This window comes from Homo sapiens, chromosome 5, assembly GCF_000001405.40.
Source record: "Homo sapiens chromosome 5, GRCh38.p14 Primary Assembly".
NCBI classification, from domain to species: Eukaryota; Metazoa; Chordata; class Mammalia; order Primates; family Hominidae; genus Homo; species Homo sapiens.
In genome coordinates, this window is record NC_000005.10 from 128,446,010 (window position 1) to 128,467,398 (window position 21,389).

Here is a 21,389-nt window from a genome sequence, read left to right on the forward strand (position 1 = left end):
ATAATCCATTTAAAAAAATTTGATGGCCAAACAATATTCAGTATACCAATTAGAGTATTTTATTTTATAATATATGACACGGTGCCAACTACTAACACATCATTTACACATGATACTGTATTTCACTTGGACTTCTTATTTCTATCTCAATTTTCGTTTTTGATATAACTTTATAAGTGAAATGGAAACCTACTTTATTAAGAAGAAACATAAATGGCTGGATTACTCCCATTCTCAATGCAACACAACTGAGATAACAAACTAGATGCAAATGCTCATTGACTCTTTTCAAATCAAACCCACTAAGGCTACAATACACAAACACAGAACTACTCTAGGCTTAAACCTATGCTTTCATAGTAGATAAAGAGTTTTAATTGTGACCAGTAGTCTTCAAAATTTCAAATGAAGTCCTGTTTTTCTTGCATTAAAGTCACAATTAGGCATGCTTCCCAAAGTAGAGAGACTCACCTTCACATTTCTGAGTAGTTTCACTCTGTTTGTGACCAGCAGGGCATCTGCATTCAAAAGAGCCCACTGTATTGATACAGTTTCCTCCTTGGCATATCCCTGGGATAGCCTGGCATTCATCAACATCTGCAAGAAGAAAACATTTTGAACACAGATGACACTGGTTTTCAGAATATCTATACTTTTTTTTACTATAAAAACTTTATATAAACATTCTTCTAAGAAACTCAGTTTTTCTCAAGAGAGTGGGGTTAGAGAAGTAAAACACCTTTGTATGCATATGTTTTAATTTATGTAAATGGTATCATGTTATATATCTTAGTTTGTTTCTTAATTTTCCTTTTAGAATTTTGTTTTTAAGATCCATCCTGTTGTGGGAAGTCAGGGACCCCGAACGGAGGGACCGGCTGAAGCCATGGCAGAAGCATGGAAATTGTGAAGATTTCATGGACATTTATTAATTCCCCAAATTAACACTTTTATCATTTCTTACGCCTGTCTTTACTGCAATCTCTGAACATAAATTGTGAAGATTTCATGGACATTTATCACTTCCCCAATCAATATTCTTGTGATTTCCTATGTCTGTCTTTACTTTAATCTCTTAATCCTGTCATCTTCGTAAGCTGAGGATGTAGGTCGCCTCAGGACCCTGTGATGATTGCGTTAACGGCACAAATTGTTTAAACGATATGAAATCTAGGCACCTTGAAAAAAGAACAGGATAACAGCGATGTTCAGGGAATAAGGGAGATAACCATTAGGTCTGGCTGCCTGAGAGCTGGGTGGAACAGAGCCATATTTCTCTTCTTTCAAAAGCAAATAGGAGAAATATCGCTGAATTCGTTTTCTCAGCAAGAAACAGCCCTGAGAAAGAGAATGCGTTCCTAGGGGGAGGTCTCTGAAATGGCTGCTCTGGGACTGTCTCTCTTTTACAGTTGTAGATAAGGGATGAAATAAGCCCCGGTCTCCCTTAGTGCTCCCAGGCGTACTATGTACCAGGATGAGGAAATTCCCGCCTAATAAATTTTGGTCAGACTGGTTGTCTGCTCTCAAATCCTGTCTCCTGATAAGATGTTATCAATGACAATGCATGCCCGAAACTTCATTAGCAATTTTAATTTCGGCCCGGTCCTGCGATCTTGCCCTGCCTCCATTTGTCTTGTAATATTTTATTACCTTGTGAAGCATGTGATCTCTGTGACCCACAGCCTATTCGTACACTCTCTCCCCTTTGAAAATCACTAATAAAAACTTGCTGGTTTTGCGGCTTGTGGGGCATCACGGCACCTGCCGACATGTGATGTCTCCCCCGGATACCCAGCTTTAAAATTTCTCTCTTTTGTACTCTTTCCCTTTATTTCTCAGACTGGCCAACACTTAGGGAAATAGAAAAGAACCTACGTGAAATAACATTGAATTATTGGGGGCGGGTTCCCCCATACATCCATACTGTTATGTGGACAATCTGTTGCTTCAGTTGGCTGCAGAACACTTAATGTGTTTCCTCTCCTGATCATGGGCACTTGGTTTATCTTTAGCTTCTCAAAACCTCAGTGAATGGTACAGTGAATGTCTCCACTACGTTTCTTTGTGGAATGACTATGGACATTGAGGACTCAGATTCTTTATCACTTTGCTGTAGACCCAGAGCAGAATTACTAGATCATAGGGTATAATGAATAAATAGTGTCCAGTGGTCCTTCAGAATGCCTGCAGGAGTCTTCATACCACTAGCAGTCTACACACCTCTACTGTTCATGAAGACTCCTGCATTTCTTCTTTCCTGCCAATACATGATATTACTATCCAATATCCTAATTTTCTTTCTTTTTTTTTTTTAGACCAAGTTTTGCTCTTGTTGCCCAGGCTGGAGTGTGCAGTGGCGTGATCTTGACTCACTGAAACCTCCACCTCCCAGGTTCAAGCGATTCTCCTGCCTCAGCCTTCCTGAGTAGCTGGGATTACAGGCATGCACCACCACGCCCGGCTAATTTTGTATTTTTAGTAGAGATGGGGTTTCTCCATGTTGGTCAGGCTGGTCTTGATCTCCTGACCTCAGATGATCTGCCCGCCTCGGCCTCCCAAATTGCTGGGATTACAGGCATGAGCCATGAGCCACCGTGCCTGGCCTCCAATATCCTAATTGTCTTGTATTGTAAAGGAATATTGTAATATTGTAAATATTGTAATATTTGTAATATTATAAATACCCTAATATTGTAAAGGAATACTAATTATTACTTTAGTTTTCATTTCTCTAATTACTAGCTCCTACACTTACTAGCTTTTTTATTTCCTCATGTGAAAGTTGTCTATATTCCTTGAACACTCTTATATTGGAATTGTTGGAATTGTCGTCCTCTTACTCTAAATTTAAAATTTCAGTTTTAGACATTGAAATTATCATCCTATCCTTTAAATTGTCTATTAATTTCATCCACATAGGAACAGAAATCCTTAGTATTGACATAATAAAATTCACGAAGCATTAATAAAGAATTTTTGGACTTTAAATGTAAAAGGAAGCTCTTCAGGTAAAATAAAAGTGAGATTAAAATTCTAACCTACACACAGAAAATGAAAAGCAGTAGGAATGGTAATATGTTAATAGAGATAAAATATATTTTCTTATTTTTTAATTAACCTTAACAGAATTGATTTTTCCAAGCAACAACAACAATAACGTATTTTGGATGTTATAACACATAGAAGTAAAAAGCATAACAACAATAACATGAAAAATTGAAGAGGTAAATGGTACCATTGTAAAGTTATTACATTATAAGTGAAGTGGCATTATACTATTATACTATATAATAGTATAATTATACAGTATACTATATAGTATACGTATAATTACATAGTATACTATATAGTATACTGTATAATTTATAGTATACTATATAATAGTATACTGTATAATTATATAGTATACTATATAATAGTATACTGTATAATTATATAGTATACTATATAATAGTATACTATTAAACTATGGCATAATAATATTATACTATTTGAAAATAGAATGTAGTAAGTTAAATACGTATAAACACTAAAAAATAAGCAGAGATATAGCTAATAATCCAACTGTGGAGATAAACTGCAATACAAGAATATACACTATTAATCTAAGAGTCAGGCAAAGAGAAAAAGAGTAACAAAGAATAGGTGAGACAGACACGAGATAGTAAAATGACAGATTTAAACACAATAAAATTGATAATCATATGAGATGTCAGTGGTACGAAAAATTCCATTAAAAAGTCTGATTGTCAGATTTTTAAAAAGCAAGACTCAATTTTAGGCTGTCTACAAGAAAACTCCTTTGACATCTTAAAAAGTAAAGAGATGAAAAAGATATATTAAGAATTCAATTAAAAAAATCTGGAATGGCTATGTTAATACTATAAGTAGTACTCATCACGACAAGTAATAAAGTGTGTGGATAAAAATGGACATTGCATAATGACAAAGGGGTCAATTCATCAAGAAGACATGATAATGCTAACTGTGCATGCATGATTATAAAGCATTAAACTCCTGGAGCAAGGGTAATTTCAGCAGATAAAGCTGAAAACAGAAATAGATAACCTGCAAGTATGTGGAAATTTCCACATTCTTCTCTTAACTAAAAGAATAAGTAGACTGAAAATCATCAGGGATATATTAGACTTGAACCATATTTTCAACCAACTTGTCCTAGTTGACATTTATAGAATACTCCACCTCACTTAAGCAGAGCACACATTCTTATCAAGTGCCCACAGAATATTTACCAAGAAAGACTATATTCTGAGGCCATGTAAAAGGTTCATTAAATGTAAAAGAAAGTTAAAATAATCCAAAATATGTTCTCCAAACACAACAGAGTTAAACTAGAAAGTAATAAAGGAAAAAATCTGGAACAACCTCAAATATCTGAAATTTAAACAATATACTTTGAAACAATGCACAGGTCAAAGAAAAAAAATCACATGGAGAAATAGAACATATTTTGAATTAACTTAAAATGAAGATACACCATATCAAAATTTGCAGGATGCAGCTAAAGTGGTGCTTAGAGGTAAATGTATAGCATTAAAATGCTTATAGTACAAAAAGAGAAGCTTCTTAAATCAATGATCTCAGTTTCCATATTAAGACATTTTAAAAAGAAGAGCAAATTAAACCCAAAGTAAATGGAATCAATAAAATAATGATGATAAAATACAAAAAAATAGAGATAATCAATTACTATAAAACCTGGCTTTTGGAAATACAAGTAAAAAAATCAGTTGATTTTTATAATAAACACTGTATATAAAAATAAATGTGAATTTACACAAATTTGTTACACTCTCTTCAAACTTACAAGCTTACATAATAGATTTATTAATGCTATATACTTAATTACAAAATAACATATCTCATTGCAACAAATGTTAAAGATACAGAAAATAGAAAATTAAAGAAATAACCATCAATATAAATTTGCTTCTGTCTTTTTAGACTTTTATTCACACACATATTCAGGATGATGGTCTGTTTATTTAACGAGAATAAAACCATAGTATATGTGTTTTTCTGCATCTTGTTTTTCTTCATTATAAAATATTTCATGAACACATCTCTGTGTCAGTACATATCAATTTGCCCTATTATTTTTTGGTAAGCTCAAAAGTTCTGTATATCTCAGTGTGTAAATTAGTGAATTCAAGCCTACAGATTATTTCTTCCTCCTATTAGCTATATCTATTGAACTAATTACAAAAGTCCAAAGTATTTTTGTACTGAATTAAAGTAGATTTCAGTGTCTTATTAAAGGATACATGATGTAAACAAAAATCAACTATGAATACAATATATGGCAAGAAGTCTATATACTAAACATTCTAATTCAGCACATTTTAAACCTCATTATTATTATTGTTATTATTATTTTTTGAGAAATTATTATTATACTTGCTCCTGTTGCCCAGGTTGGAGTGCAATGGTGCGATCTCGGCTCCCTGCAACCTCCACCTCCTGGGTTCAAGCGATTGTCCTGCCTCAGGCCTCCTGAGTAGCTGGGATTACAGGCATGAGACACCTCATCCGGCTAATTTTGTACTTTGAGTAGAGACAGGGTTTCACCATGTTGGTCAGGCTGGTCTCGAACTCCTGACCTCAGGTGATCCACCCGCCTTGGCCTCCCAAAGTGCTGAGATTACAGGCATGAGCCACTGCGCACAGCCTTAAACCTCATTTTTAAATGTACTACACTCCCACTCTCATTACAGTGTGGTATAAAAGAGCTCTAGAAACTTGTTTTCCTGGCAGATAAATCAGAGAAAAAATATGGTAAAAGCTGAAAAATGAGACCAAGTCTATAAAACCTTAACATTATTCATAAAATTGTATGCTGCATACGGATTATAGTAGATTCAGTGATTTTTCAAAAAGAAAAACAATTCAGCATCATAGGATTTATTCTGTAACTGCCTAAAAAGTATTTTTTTAGAAGAACGAAACCCTTATTTTTGAAGTCTCCTAGGCTCTGCAGTTATGTAGAATTAATTTCTTTTAGTTAGATCAAGTTAGCAGTTAAAATAAAAAAGAAAATTTAAAAGAAATTATATAGAAATAACCAAAAAATAACCACTTTGGACCAAGATGTGCTCTTTATAAATATAAAAAAGCATGCCTCAAGCCTTCAAACTATGCAAGAATTTCTACATCTGCAAAGTCCTATCACAAGCAACTACTAATGATTGATTAATTCTCCAATGACCAGACTGTACAGATGTTATCTTTGCTCATTCCTTCAATTCAGGCAAAAACTTACTATTTCTTTAAATTTTGAATTATTCCAAATCACATGTAACAATTTTATAGAACACAATTATATATTTTGAAATTTATACCTTATGCAATAACGTCAGTCCATGTCTATTAAGGTTAAAAATAATGTAACAAAGCAACAATAATTCTAGTTTATAACCTCATTTATTCTCCAAATTCTCCGTGTAAACTTGTTCTAAAAAATTAAACTTATTTTATTACATAAATTATTATTAGATGATATATTATTTTTAGTTCATGTCCAAATATGGAAAATATGTGCAGTATTATAGGCATATAAAAATGGTTCATTTAATTTATATGTGTAGCAACCAGGGGACATAGAAATTACTACTATATTTCATAGCGTGTTTTTTAACTTTTCTTGTTACCAAATTAGATCCATTTCTAATTTTAATTTTTTTACATTGAACTTGCTTTTTCTTTTCAATTTTTATGGTTTCGGGGATACAGGTGCGGGTTTGTTATGTGAATATATTGCATAATGGTAAGGTTTGGGCTTCTAGTTAACCCATTATCCAAATAGTGAAAACTCAGTAGGTACTCAATAGGTAATTTTTCAGTCCTCATCCCTCCTCTCAGCCTCCCTACTTTTGGAGTCCCCAGTGCTTATTATTTCCATTAGTAAACAGAAATTCTTATTTCTATACTCTGTAGATATTCACACATAATATTTTATTCCTATGAAAACAAATGTCTAACTTTAAGGGCAGCAACTAAATAATAGGTCTATTTCTATTTGGAATCTGAAACATATGGGGTGTCCTAGCAATCATTTAATATGGTTTGATCCAGAATGAATATCTACTCATGTATGATACACAAAATTCAAATGTTAAAATGATCATCAAAACAAGTATATATTGGTAACTTGATATCTGCAGGACCCTGAAATTGTAATAACAAGAACAGAGCATGGTTCTATCTCGATCTTATCTTCACAAATGTCACCATCGTGTTCCAGCTGTTAAAGTCAGAAGCCTAAGAGAGAAACTTGGCATGTTCCTCTCACTTATGTCACATCACTTCATCAGCAACAACTGCTTACTTTCCAAGAATATCTCAAATCTTTCCTCTGCTACTACCCGGTCTCAGCCTCCATCATATAGCACCTGGACTACTGCAGAAACTTTATAACTGGCTTCTTGGCATCCACTCTGGCCTTCCTATAACTGATGCTCCACAAAGCATCATTGCTTTAAATTTCCATTAAAAATGTTGTTTTTAATTTCCTTGAGATAAGAGAGAAGTATATAAACTTTGCATTTATTTGGGTAGTAATTCTTTGAAGCATGTTCATACCCGCCTTTTACTTATGTTTTCTTTTTTTGTTGTTGGTTTTCTTTTTTTTCAGTTTTTATATGCAGGCCTTTCTCTTTATTATTCATCTCTCAATGCAGCCATTTCCTGCTGAAATGCAGAGTGGGGAAGGCTCAAAGGAAACGTGTTGGTTTGAAACTTCCACAAGGCATAGTCCTGAAACAGTTTGTCACCAAACTCCTCCCCCAACTTTTTTTTCCCTTGAGCATCAATTTTCAACTGTCAGTTGGTGGTGTGACTCTTATATTTACAGATTACTTGCTAGTGGTCCATACTTCCTCTTTGTCCTTCCACCCTCCTGTACCTCACTCAAGGAGTGTCTCTGGGATGGAAGACTGGGAGTAGAATACTCAGAAATGGCTTGCCCCCCCCCCAAGTTTCTCCTTCCATTACCCTCTGTTACTGTGAGGTTCTGAAGTAGATCTGTCTCTTATGGGAACATCTCCTCCTCTCCAATAGAACATCCACAATCCTAGCTCTCTGCTCTTAGTAGGTTCAAACACCTTTCAGGATTATGACACTCAGAGTAAATGCTTAGAAAACTCTCCCTGTCCCAGTGACTTCCCAACAGCTACATGTGCTCATCACTGGTTTTGTTCCAGGATTTTGTTTTAGAATGATGTGTTGTTCTCTATTATTCATTTTCATGTTAGTTTTTTGTGGGGTTAGAAGAAGAGGAATATTCTGTTATCTTTAAATAGGAGTTTCTATAATTGAGTTTGCTTTAAAGTTTTTTAATTGTTTAGGAATAACTTGTGTTAATACAGCATGAATTAAAGTTAGACTTTATAATGATCTCGTTAACTTGGTTAATGTAGGCAGCCAAGATGAATTTGTTTTGGCTGTAACTATCTTTAATAATTTATTCTAATCAAATAAATCAGATAATAGCCAAGTTTACTTTTTACTTGGCTATGTGGAAGGCTTGGAAATAACTTTCTACTCAGGGCGTCTTCTGCTCATTCAACAATTGAGGAGCTAGCAACATCTGCCTGATTTCAGCTGAGATTAAAGTCCTCTACTCTCTCACATGCAGTCAGACTAAAGAAATTATGTTTCTGGTGCACTAACGCCATATGAAAAGAACACACACCAGCATTTGTTTTGCAGAAACCAATTTAGGGTCTGTATTGCTATTTCTTTATTCATGACCTTATCCTGTGTCCTAGCTAGGGCCTGTGTCAAATATGTGAATTCCTGTGCATTTCACATTACCTGGAAAGGAGCAGAGGCTTGGCATCAATGTTATTATCATCAATGATGAAGCAAGAGATGAAATTTCACAAACAATTTTCTTCTGCTATACCTTCAGTTTTGAAGCATTTGAAGTAGTTTAAAAGCCTAATCCCTAAATATCACATGGTACAAAAATTAATAATTATGCCAGTTTAATTTTAATATATTTAAAAAAATTTTAGGAGCACCCTGTTCATTTGAAAACCTAAAAGATCCAAAGCCAAGTACTAATCTTAAACAAAATGTCACTCCTAATTAGAGTAGGTTCATGAGACTAAAGACAAAAAAAGAAGAAACTTTGTAAGAAAATTATACATCATATGCACATGGCAATTTGTTATATATTTAAAGTTCACAAATATTATTGGAAAAGGGCTTAATGACACTATTAACATTTTTAATTCACTTGTTTTATGATAGCTTAAATTTTAAGTCCTATATGAGTTAACTTTGGTCCTTTAATGTATAATAAAATGGAAGAAAGTAGATTAAATGTGGATTAAGCACAACGGCTAAAACTCAAATGGCTCTCAATATTAAAGCCATCAAGAATTGATATGACTGATTTCATACCACGCTAGGAGGGCACACCTTTCTGACACTACTTAAGTCCAGAATGTTAGCATGGCAACAGTTTAAAGTAAAATGTGGGGCCAAGATGGCCGACTAGAAGCAGCGTCTCTCAGAGGCTCCCATCAAAAAAAAACAAAGAGTGTGAATCCTTCACTGGCAACCAATGTATCCAGGTTCTTTCATCAAAGTTGACTAGAAGGCTGGCGTGATCCACAGAGAGAAGGATGAGTAGTGTGGTGCCACGGCCCACTTGAGAGCCACACGGGGATGGGAAACCCCCTCCCCGCAGCTAAGGGAGGTCATGAGTGAGTGTGATACCCAGCCTAGTAAACTGTTTTTTCCAGGGAACTGTGCAACCCACGAATCGGAGGATCCCACTCTCAAACCCAAGCCACAGGGGACTACCATCTCAACCCTGGAACGTACAGATTATTACAGCCTCTGAGCAGGAATCTGCTTAAGCCTATGGAGCCCCCCGGGGGTTGTGGCGACCAGCTCCAGCTGCTGCTGTCTGCTCTCTAAGCCTTTTGAGCTCCTTGGGGGAGGGTTAGCAACAAAAAAAAAAAAAAAAAAAAAAAAAAAAAAAAAGCAACTGCTGAACACACTAAGCTCTCTGGGCACGGGGAAGGGCTGCATCCATTTCTATAGCTCCCGGCTGTGCTTTTCCCCTGCTGGAGCCAGGGAGGTTGGATGGCTTGGTCCCAAGACTTGTCCTCACAGCCCAACACACTGGCTGTGGCAGTCTGAGGCCAGAGTGCCTCTTCAGGTCTAACCCTGACCCATCCTTCCTCAGTGGGTGGGGCCTTCCTGCAGGATCTCCGATAACTCCAGCCAGAGGCTCAGAGACAGAATTTGGATCTCCCTGGGCCTGAGCCCCTAGGGGGAGGGGTGGCTGCAGTCTCGGGATCAGCAGACTTAGCCTCTCCTCCTGGTAGTTCTGAGGAATCTGGGCAGCCCGGCCGAGTGGGTTTCCCCCCAGCAAAACACACTCTCTCCACCAAAGGACAAACTGCTTCATTAAACGGATCCTGCTCCCAGTGCCACCCAACTGGGTGAGACCCTCCAAAAGCGGTTGTCAGACTCCTTATAGAGGAGAGATCCTACTGGCATTAGATTGGTGCCCCTAGAGGTGAGAGGTCCCAGAAGGAGCAGGCACCCATCTCTGCGGCTCTCTAGTCTCCTTGAGTGACATCTCTAGTCATGGGGGCGAATCAGATGAATAAGGCCTGAAGTGAACCCCCAGCAAACTGCAGCAGCCCTACAGAAGAAGGTCCTGACTACTAAAAGAAAGACAAACAAGCAGAAAGTGACAACAACAGCATCAACAGCAATAAAAAGGCCCCCATAAAAACCCCATCCAAGGGTCAGCAGCTGCAAAGACAGAAACTAGACAAACACACAAAGATGAGAAAGAATCAATGAAAAAATCCTAAAAACACAAAAGGCCAGAGTGCCTCTTCTCCAAATGACTGCAACATCTCTCCATCAAGGGTGCAGAGCTAAACGAAGGATCAGATGGATGAATTGACAGAAGTAGGCTTCACAAAATGGGTAACAAAAAACTATGATGAGCTAAGGGAGCATGTTCTAAGCCAATGCAAAGAAGCTAAGAACTTTGATAAATGGTGAGAGGAATTGCTAACTAGAATAACCAGTTTAGAGGGGAACATAAACGACCTAAGGGAGCTGAAAAACACAGCATGAGAACTTCATGAAGCATACACAAGTATCAACAGCCAAATCGACCAAGTGGAAGAAAGGATATCAGAGTCTTAAGACCACCTTACTGAAATAAGATATGCAGACAAGAATAGAGAAAAAAGAATGAAAAGGAATGAACAAAGCTTCCAGGAAACATGAGACTTCATAAAATGACCTAACCTACGATTGACTGGAGTACCAGGAGGAGACAGGGAGAATGGAAACAAGCTGGAAAACATATTTCTGGATATTATCCAGAAGAACTTCCCCAACCTAGCAAGACAGGCCAACAGGCAAATTCAGGAAATACAGAGAACACGATTAAGATACTCCATGAGAAGATCAACCCCAAGACACATAATCATCAGATTCTTCAAGGTTGAAATGAAGGAAAAACTGTTAAGGGCAGCCAGATAGAAAGGTCAGGTCACCTTCAAAGGGAAGCACATCAGACTAACAGTGGACCTCTCAGCAGAAACTCTACAAGCCAGAAAAGACTGGGGTCCAATATTCAACATTCTTCAAGAAAAGAATTCTCAACACAGAATTTCACATCCAGCCAAGCTAAGCTTCATAAGCAAAGGGGAAATAAAATATTTTCCAGAAAAGCAAATGCTGAGGGATTTCATTACCACCAGGCCTGTTCCTCAAGAGCTCATGAAAGAAGCACTAAATATGGAAAGGAAAAACCAGTACCAGACACTGCAAAAAAAAAAAACAAAAAACAAAATATAAAGACCAATAACACTATGAAGAAACTGCATGAACTAGTGTGCAAAATAACCAAATAGCATTATGATAACCGGATCAAATTCACATGTGACAATACTAACCTTAAATGTAAATGGGCTAAATGCCCCAATTAAAAGACACTTATTGGCAAACTGGATAAGCTGTCAAGACCCATCGGTGTGCGTGTGCTGTACTAAGGAAACCCGTCTTACATGCAAAGACACACACAGGCTCAAAATAAAGGGATGGAGGAATATTTACCAAGCAAAAGGAAAGCAAAAAAATGCAGGGGTTGCAATCCTAGTCTCTGACAAAACAGATTTTAAACCAGCAAAGATCAAAAAAGACAAACAAGGGCATTACGTAATGGTAAAGGGAACAATTCAACAAGAAGAGCTAACTCTTCTGTTGAATTCATAAAAGCACCCAGATTCATAAAACAAGTTATTAGAGGCCTATAAAGAGACTTAGACTTCCACACAATAATAGTGGGAGACTTTAACACCCCACTGTCAGTACTAGACGGATAAATGAGACAGGAAATTAACAAAAATATTCAGTACTTGAACTCAGCTCTGGATCAAGTGGACCTACTAGATGCCTACAGAACTCTCTGCCCCAAATCAACAGAATATACATTCTTCTCAGTGCCACTTATTCTAAAATTGACCACATAACTGGAAGTAAAACACTCCTCAGCAAATGCAAAAGAACTGAAATCATAACAGTCTCTCAGACCACAATGCAATCAAATTAGAACTCAGGATTAAGAAACTCAGTCAAAACCAGACAATTTTGTGGAAACTGAACAACCTGCTCCTGAATGACTCCTGGGTAAATACTGAAAGTAAGGCGGAAATCAAGAAGTTCTTTGAAACTAATAAGATCAAAGAGACAACGTACCAGAATCTCTGGGACACAGCTAAAGCAGTGTTAAGAAGGAAATTTATAGCACTAAATGCCCACATCAGAAAGCTATAAAGATCTCAAATCGACACCCTAACATCACAATTAAAAGAGTTAGAGAGGCAAGAGCAAACTAATCCAAAAGCTAGCAGAAGACAAGAAATACCTAAGATCAGAGAAGAATTGAAGGAGTTAGAGACAAGAAAAACTCTCCAAAAAAAAATAAATGAATCCAAGAGCTGGTGTTTTGAAAAAAATTAATGAAACTGATAGACTGCTAGCTAGACTAATAAAGAAGAATGAAGAGAAGAATCAAATAGACACAATAAAAAATGATAAAGGGGACATCACCACTGACCCCACAGAAATACAAACTACCATCAGAGAATACTATAAACACCCCACATAAATAAACTAGAAATCTAGTAGAAATGGATAAATTCCTGGACACATACACCCTACCAAGACTAAACCAGGAACAAGTTGAACCCCTAAATAGACCACTAACAAGCTCTGAAATTGAGGCAGTAATTAATAGCCTACCAACCAAAAAAACCTCAGGACCAGACGGATTCACAGCTGAATTCTACAAGAAACACAAAGAGGAGCTGGTTCCATTCCTTCTGGAAACTATTTCAAACAATTGAAAAGAAGGGACTCCTCCCTAACTCATTTTATGAAGCCAGAATCATCCTGATATCAAAACCTGGCAGAGACACAACAACAACAACAACAAAAAACTTGCTAAAACAACAACAACAACAAATTGTGAAAATCTTCAATAAAATACTGGCAAACTGAATCCAGAAGCACATCAAAAAACTTATCCACCACCATCAAGTCAGCTTCGTCCCCAGGATGCAAGGCTGGTTCAATTGTTCAACATACACAAATCAATAAACGTAATCCATCACATAAACAGAACCAAAGACAAAAACCACATGATTATCTCAATAGATGCAGAAAATACTTTCTATAAAAGTCAACATCCGTTCATGTTAAAAATTCTCAGTAAACCAGGTATTGATGGAACATATCTCAAAATAATAAGAGCTATTTATGGCAAACCCACAGGCAATATCATAGTGAATGGGCAAAAGCTGGAAGCATTCCCTTTGAAAACCGGCACAAGACAAGGATCCCCTCTCTCACCACTCCTATTCAACATAGTATTGGAAGTTCTGACCAGGGCAATCAGGCAAGAGAAAGAAATAAAGGGTATTTAAATAGGAAGAGATGAAGTCAAATTGTATCTGTTTGCAGATGACATGATTGTATATTTAGAAAACCGCATCATCTCAGCCCAAAATCTCCTGAAGCTGATAAGCAATTTCAGCAGTCTCAGGATACAAAATCGGTGTGCAAAAATCATAAGCATTCCTATGCACCAATAATAGACAAACAGAGAGTCAAATCATGAGTGAACTCCCATCAATAATAGACAAACAGAGAGTCAAATCGTGAGAGAACTCCCATTCACAATTGCTACAAAGAGAATAAAATACCTAGGAATACAACTTACGAGGGATGTGAAAGGCCTCTTAAAGAAGAACTACAAAACACTGCTCAAGGAAATAAGAGAGGACACAAACAATGGAAAAACATTCAGTCCTCATGCATAGGAAGAATCAATATCATGAAAATGGCCATACTATCCAAAGTAATTTATAGATTCAATGCTATTCCCATTGAACTGCCATTGACATTCTTCACAGAATTAGAAAAAAAAACATTTTAAATTTCATATGGAATCAAAGAAGGCCCTGTATAACCAAGACAATCCTAAGCAAAAAGAACAAAGCTGGATGCATCACGCTACCTGACTTCAAACTATACTACAAGGCTACGGTAACCAAAACAGCATGGTACTGGAACCAAAACAAACATACAGACCAATGGAGCAGAACAGAGACCTCAGAAATAACACCACACATCTAGAACCATCTGATCTTCAACAAACCTGACAAAAACAAGCAATGGGGAAAGGATCTCCTAATTAGTAAATGGTGCTGGGAAAACTGGCTAGCCATATGCAGAAAATTGAAACTGGACCCCTTCCTTACACCTTATACAAAAATCAAGATGGATTAAAGACTTAAATGTAAAATCCAAAACCAAAATAACCCTAGAAGAAAACCTAAGTAATACCATTCAGGACATAGGCATGGGGGGAGACTTCATGACAAAAATGCCAAAAGCAATTGCAACAAAAGCCAAAATTGACAAATGTGATTGAATTAAACTAAAGAGCTTCTGCACAGCAAAAGTAACTATCATTAGAGTGAACAGGAAACCTACAGAATGGGAGAAAATTTTTGCAATCTACCCATCTAACAAAGGTCTAATATCCAGAATTTATAAGGAACTTAAACATATTTATAAGAAAAAGACAAACAACCCCATCAAAAAGTGGGCAAAGGATATGAACAGACACTTCTCAAAAGAAGGCATTTATGTGGCCAACAAACATATAAAAAAAGCTCATCATCACTGATCATCAGATAAATGCAAATCAAAACCACAATGAGATACCATCTCACACCATTCAGAATGGTGATTATTAAAAAGTCAGGAAACGAGATGCTGGCGAGGCTGTGGAGAAATAAGAATGCTTTTACACTGTTGGTGGAAATATAAATTAGTTCAACCATTGTGGAAGACAGTATGGCGATTCCTCAAGGGTCTAGAACCAGAAATACCATTTGACCCAGCAATCCCATTAGTGGGTGTATACCCAATGAATTATAAATCACTGTACTATAAGACACATGCACACATATGTTTATTGCAGCAGTATTTACAATAGCAAAGACATGGAACCAACCCAAATGGCCATCAATGATAAGACTGGATAAAGAAAATGTGGTACATATACACCATGGAATACTATGCAACCATAAAAGGGAATGAGATCATGTCCTTTGCTGGGACATGTATGAAGCTGGAAGCCATCATCCTCTGCAAACTAACACAGGAACAGAAAACCAAACACCACATGTTCTCACTCATAAGTGAGAGTTGAACATTGAAAACACGTGGACACAGATAGGGGAATAACACACACCAGGGCCTGTTGGGGGGTCGGGGGAGGGAACTTAGAGGACAGGTCAATAGGTGCGGCAAACCACCATGGTACACATATACTCCTGTAACAAACCTACATATTCTGCACATGTATTCGTTTTTTTAATAAGAAATAAAGCAAAATAAATAAATAAAATAAAGTTACTGATTTTCTCACAGCTTAATTCTTTAAGTATTATCTTAATTTCCTGTTGTCCCTCATTTTCCACAGCTACTCTGTTTACTACAAGGGCATGTTTCATTCACAACTAATTTCATCAGCTACAGGATATCATTATCTTCCAAACTTCAAAAGAACCATGATTTAGAGCTAGTGTTAAGCTATTTACAGTTATCATCCACATAGTTGAAATTTATTTTTAACTCTGTAACACTTCTCAATCATCGTATAAAAAAGATCACTGTTTTTTTAATGACATATATGCACCATGTTTTAATGTATTATTTTTTCATGCCCCATCTCTTCCAAACTAATTTGGCATAAGTATTCAGGAAACAGTCTAGGAATTTAAAGGAAAAAAATGAAATCACAGTAAGATGTCTTAAAATAGCCTGAACTACGGATTAGTATTTAATTGAGAACTTTCTGACTATGCCATGATTTTGAAATAAAGCAGAACTTTTCAACGTGCTTTTCCAGACATTTTAATCATGTGGCAAATTTCATTTTGTTCCTGTTACTGTGTTAATCCCTCAGATTTTTAGGCAAATGGAGCCTGAAACTTATCTTTGATGCATAAACCAAATCAAATAAGTAATCCTTCAGACATTACTAAACCCTAAAGGACATTCAGAAAGTTTGAGATCAGATGACACATTTTTTATAATTGTGTTTGGGAAAAAAACTAGGCCTCTGACAAAGTATGAAAGTAAAAAAGCATAAGTATAAATACAGAACATGAGAAAAGTCAATAATTTGGAATGTTTTGGTTGAAGTTAAAGGCTTTTCTTAACCTGAACTGTTTCTTTCTCTGAAATAGTGGGTTTTGGAAGTATTTCAATCTTAATGTCATTTATTAATTCAAAAGGTATTTGCTGAGCTTCTACTGTATATTAGGCACTGTTCTAGATGTCTGAGACATCAGTGAATAAGTGAAAAAGATTTCTGCAGTCATAGAGCTTACATTCTAGTCAAAAGAGAATTAAAAACAACAAAGAAATGAAGTTAGTATGTTAGAAGGTAATAAAGGGTACCGAATAAACAAAAAGTAGTACTATAGTAAATCCAGTCATTATTAAACTAGTAAATCAATATAGTAGAGTATTTTATTTTTAATAATAATCTATATCCACTATATAAATTACATGGTAATCTGTATACTAAGATGTAGTAAAGACCATATGGAGCACAGTAAAGACAGATACAATATAATATAGAATATCTTCCTATAGAAGAAACTGTTGCACTACCAGGAACTCTATATATTCAGACTAATATTCATACCAAAACATACAGAATTTTACTATCCATAGTAAACAATAGATTAAAAATGGCATTTGACTCAGTCTTCATCATTAAGGCCTGAGCTGTGTTCATCACTAAAAAGAACTATTCTAAGTCCACAGCTCACATATGTGAGCTTTCATATGTGATTAAATATAAAGTCGGTAAATGTTTTAGTTATATAGTCATCCCCTTGGTATCTCCGTAGTTCGGATTCAAAATGATTTTAGAAATAGACCATTTTAAAAATATACCTTTTATAAAACTACAACACTAACAAAAATCTGTGGATGCTGCTGTCAGGGACACATTTACAAAATTATGCAGAACACTCACATTTTATTATTCAATGAACTAAAGTTACGTATGTGCTCCCCAAACTGTAATTCTCATTTGAGATTTAGGACACTGACCAGGCTTGCTACAATGTAAGATTTACACAGGCCCAATAGATAACATCTTCACTTGTGACACAGCTTACTAACATCAATTTGAAAGACTTTGGATCTAACTTTGTGCATGTTTTAATTATAGAAAATAACCCTAACTCTCAAAGTCTCAAATATGAATAATATTATTTATGTGAATAATACAAAAATCATTTCTGTTTTCCTGTGATCTTACTGCTATGCAATATGAAGGCAACTGCCATTTAAGAAGTCATTAGAGAGACCATTTCCGAGCTCTAAAAATGGATTTAAGACATTTGATATCAGAGAAGTTGCTAGAAAAAGGTAAGAATTGCGGCAGCTGAAAATTAATTAAAATAATTAATCAGTAAATAGGTAACAATTTTTGGCTACTTGGATTGCAGTCTACTAAGGTAGCATCCTCAGGGCCCTGATCTGGCCCTAATATAGAAATCAGTGTCATGAATGCAGTTAGGGAGTGTCAAAACCCAGAGATCATGACCAACCCAGGTTACAAAGTCTGTAATAACTGCAATCATAGACAGAGTTCACATTTTGTCTTTGAAGACACTATTAATAATGATAGAGGGCCAATATTAGGTGGCTTTCTTCTCCTTGTTACTTGGGTTCAGATTCTCATAACTTGAATGAGATAAAGAGAAAAAATAGGTTTTTCCTGGGTATTTGCATGAGTATAGTTAAGGGAGGAGTCATGCCATCTAGATAAAAATAGAGTGGTTCATCCTTTGATTGTATTAAATATTTTACACTGTATTTTTACATTTCCCCCAATTCTTCATCTCTTTCTCTTCTCCATTAATGTCAACAGTTGAAACAATTATTCATTAGGTGGCTAAAAGATAAACCTTCTCTGGTCAGGGTTGTTAACGAGGCCACTCTTGGAAATCAGTATTCTGTTAAAAGCTACCATCCAGTGCCAGATTCTCCAACTCCAACAAAAAGAGAAGTGGCAGGTCTGCGATGGTGTGCACAGGCAGACAGCTGACTCACCTTGGCAAGCTCCAGTGCGGATGTTGGGGATGAAACCCCGTCGGCAGGGCTGAGGCTGGGCTGGACACATCTCACAGGGATGGCCCCACGCCCGTCCAATGGTGGCACAGCACAGAGTCTTCGTGCAGACAATGCCTGTCAGCTGCCCTTGGCACATCTGGTTGTTGACCTGAGTGAAACACGGGCCTGTCCTGTAATCTGGAATGTGGGAGAAGAAAGAAAGACAGGTTTTATGATCATATACTAATCTTATACCAGTGCCTCCAAATGCATAAAACAGAGACTATTTCTTCTGACCAAAGTGTCCAAAGACAGAAGGCTAGAGAGTTTCATGTTAAAAATTCATAATTTTCCATTCATGAGAAGTACCTTAAGAGACTTCAATGTATTCCACACTAGACACTGTAAATGGGTGGCTCAGGGCTGTGTCTGGGATACAGATGTGCCTTCTTGGCCTGAATAATGCTTTTACAGAATTTAAATTAGTAGCCAACATTGTAAACTTGGGAAATTCCACATGAAATTTGTATTTCTGGCTTCTCTTGAAAAATTGGAAGTTCTGGTCATGCTAGACCTGCCATGTCACACAGCACTGGTGGGATGAAGTGTGTTTTCTCCAGGACACCACTAAATCCGAGCTCAGTACATTCACTGATGTTTCCTTCCTGGGCCCTGAAGGCATCAGCATTAATGACTCCTCTTTACTTAGCAGAGATTTTCTTTTCTGACTAGGTGAACAAGAGTTTAGAAAATTAAAACAAATCAATAAAGATATGCTCCTTCCATATCACACATATATTTGGGCAATCTAAACTGCCTGTAAATATTCAGTTCTAAGAATCTGATTTCTGTTTCTGTGTCAGTCAGTTTAGTTCTATGGGTAGCCTAGTTAGGAAGATCTCATTAATAAGGCACATAGTCATGAATTCCTTACACGTAAGTTAGTATTATATGATCGCTCCTCTCTAGCAAGTGACTGTACATTGTCCAGCTCTGTTATGGTGATAACAAAAGCCTTAGTAAATGTATGGCATGTGTGATACATAGGCAAATTCTTCTATGAATATTAAGTACAGTCCATTTAGATCCCCGCCTCTCAAGGTTTCTATGGACCAGCAGCAACAGCATCACTTTGGGGCCGGGTAGAAATGCAGACTCAAGCCCTACCCTGACCCACTAACCCAGGTTCTGCATTTTTTAACAAGACCGGGCATTAATATGCACCTTGGAGTTTCAGAAGGGCTGATATAGACTGCAGGCAGTTGGAAAGTTAGCCCTGGGTATTTCTGCTCTATCCTGCTTTCTTCTGTGATTTACTTTCAGTGAAACTTTTCGATGATCGGTGAAACAGAACTGAATCATGAACTAAATAAATTTTAATTTCAGCTTTGTTGTTGTTGCTGTTTTGAGAGATACAAGAAATCAGAGAAAGGTCAGTTTTCTGAGGATTCACCAATTCAATTATTCTCATTTGCTATAAAATACAACAGAAATACATGAAAAAGTTGTGTGTTTTTCCTTACACACAGGGATTATGTCAATACAGTTTATTAATTCTTGGGAATACAAAATACCACTCAGGTTTCTTGATAAGGTCTAACATAAATGATATTATTCTACTCCAAGGGGAAAGCTACACAGATTTAATTCATAGTTTTATGAGAACAAAACTACCTAACATTTAAAGGAGGAAGAGTCAATAATGTTGGTATAATTTTTATGAAAAACTGTTTCTAGGAAAATCAAACTTGGATATAATTTAACATTCAAAATGCTAAGCTAGGAAGCCTTAGATATCATATACGTGCTGCAGTACAACAACAAAAACCTTAAAACCACATAAAACTTCGATTTGCTTTAAAGAAGAATGAGGCTGTCTCCGACAGAAGCAAAGAACAGTTTAGAAGTTCAATATTAAGAAACAAAATCGAGAATAGGTAATTTCTTGGCAAGCCATTTTAACATTGTTACTCTGCAGCTGAACTTCAACAAAAATAGCTCATTTTAATCCCTTGCATAAGAACAACAGATGTGCTGGCTGCAAGTCTCGTTTTTGAAAAAGATCTTTGGAGTATACGTGAAGATATGGCAACCTTATAAACAAACACACTTCCTATACTGCAAATTGTCAGGTTGCAAACTTTTAAAATCTATCCTATTGTCCTTCAGATATAAATATTTTGTCATTTTAAATAAACATTAAATTCCTAATTATAAGTTATATCAAGTTCTGAATACGTGGGGAAAAGTCTGTTTTTTTGCAAAAAAAATATAAAAACACATATTGTTTTTAGGTCAATGTGTGAATACCCATGTTCACATTCTATGCACTTTTAGGATTCCCAGAATGAAATCTGCACAGTCTCCCTCATAACCAAATTCATAAATAAACCAACTTGACAGTAGATTCATTCCTTCTTCTAACTACACCTTAAACTTATGTCCTCTTAGTACCGTCTCTGTGGAGAAGGGGAATATCTGGACAAGGACAGCTGTTTGTCCTCTGCAAATGACCTTTCTTGTTGAAGTCACTAATTAAGGCAACCTTCCACTTGGCAGGAATAGAGTTGACCATTTCTTATTTGTTTTGCTTACATTTTACTCCTTACAAAATATGCTGAACCTATGTTTGTATATGATGACAATTTGCTTTCTGGTTGGTAACTAAATACTTT

At 36.3% G+C, this 21,389-nt stretch overlaps 1 protein-coding gene across 2 annotated transcripts in view; it reads right to left on the bottom strand.

Annotated features, from left to right (window-relative positions):
- Positions 1-21,389, bottom strand: part of FBN2 (fibrillin 2) — a 280,337-nt gene that overhangs the window by 188,101 nt on the left and 70,847 nt on the right. For both annotated transcript variants that reach the window (XM_017009228.3, NM_001999.4), the window contains exons 6-7: positions 18,715-18,912; positions 472-597 (exon numbers count right to left, since the gene is read on the bottom strand). In XM_017009228.3, the coding sequence (XP_016864717.1) occupies positions 472-597; positions 18,715-18,912 (324 nt within the window). The remainder of the gene's footprint in view (positions 1-471; positions 598-18,714; positions 18,913-21,389) is intronic.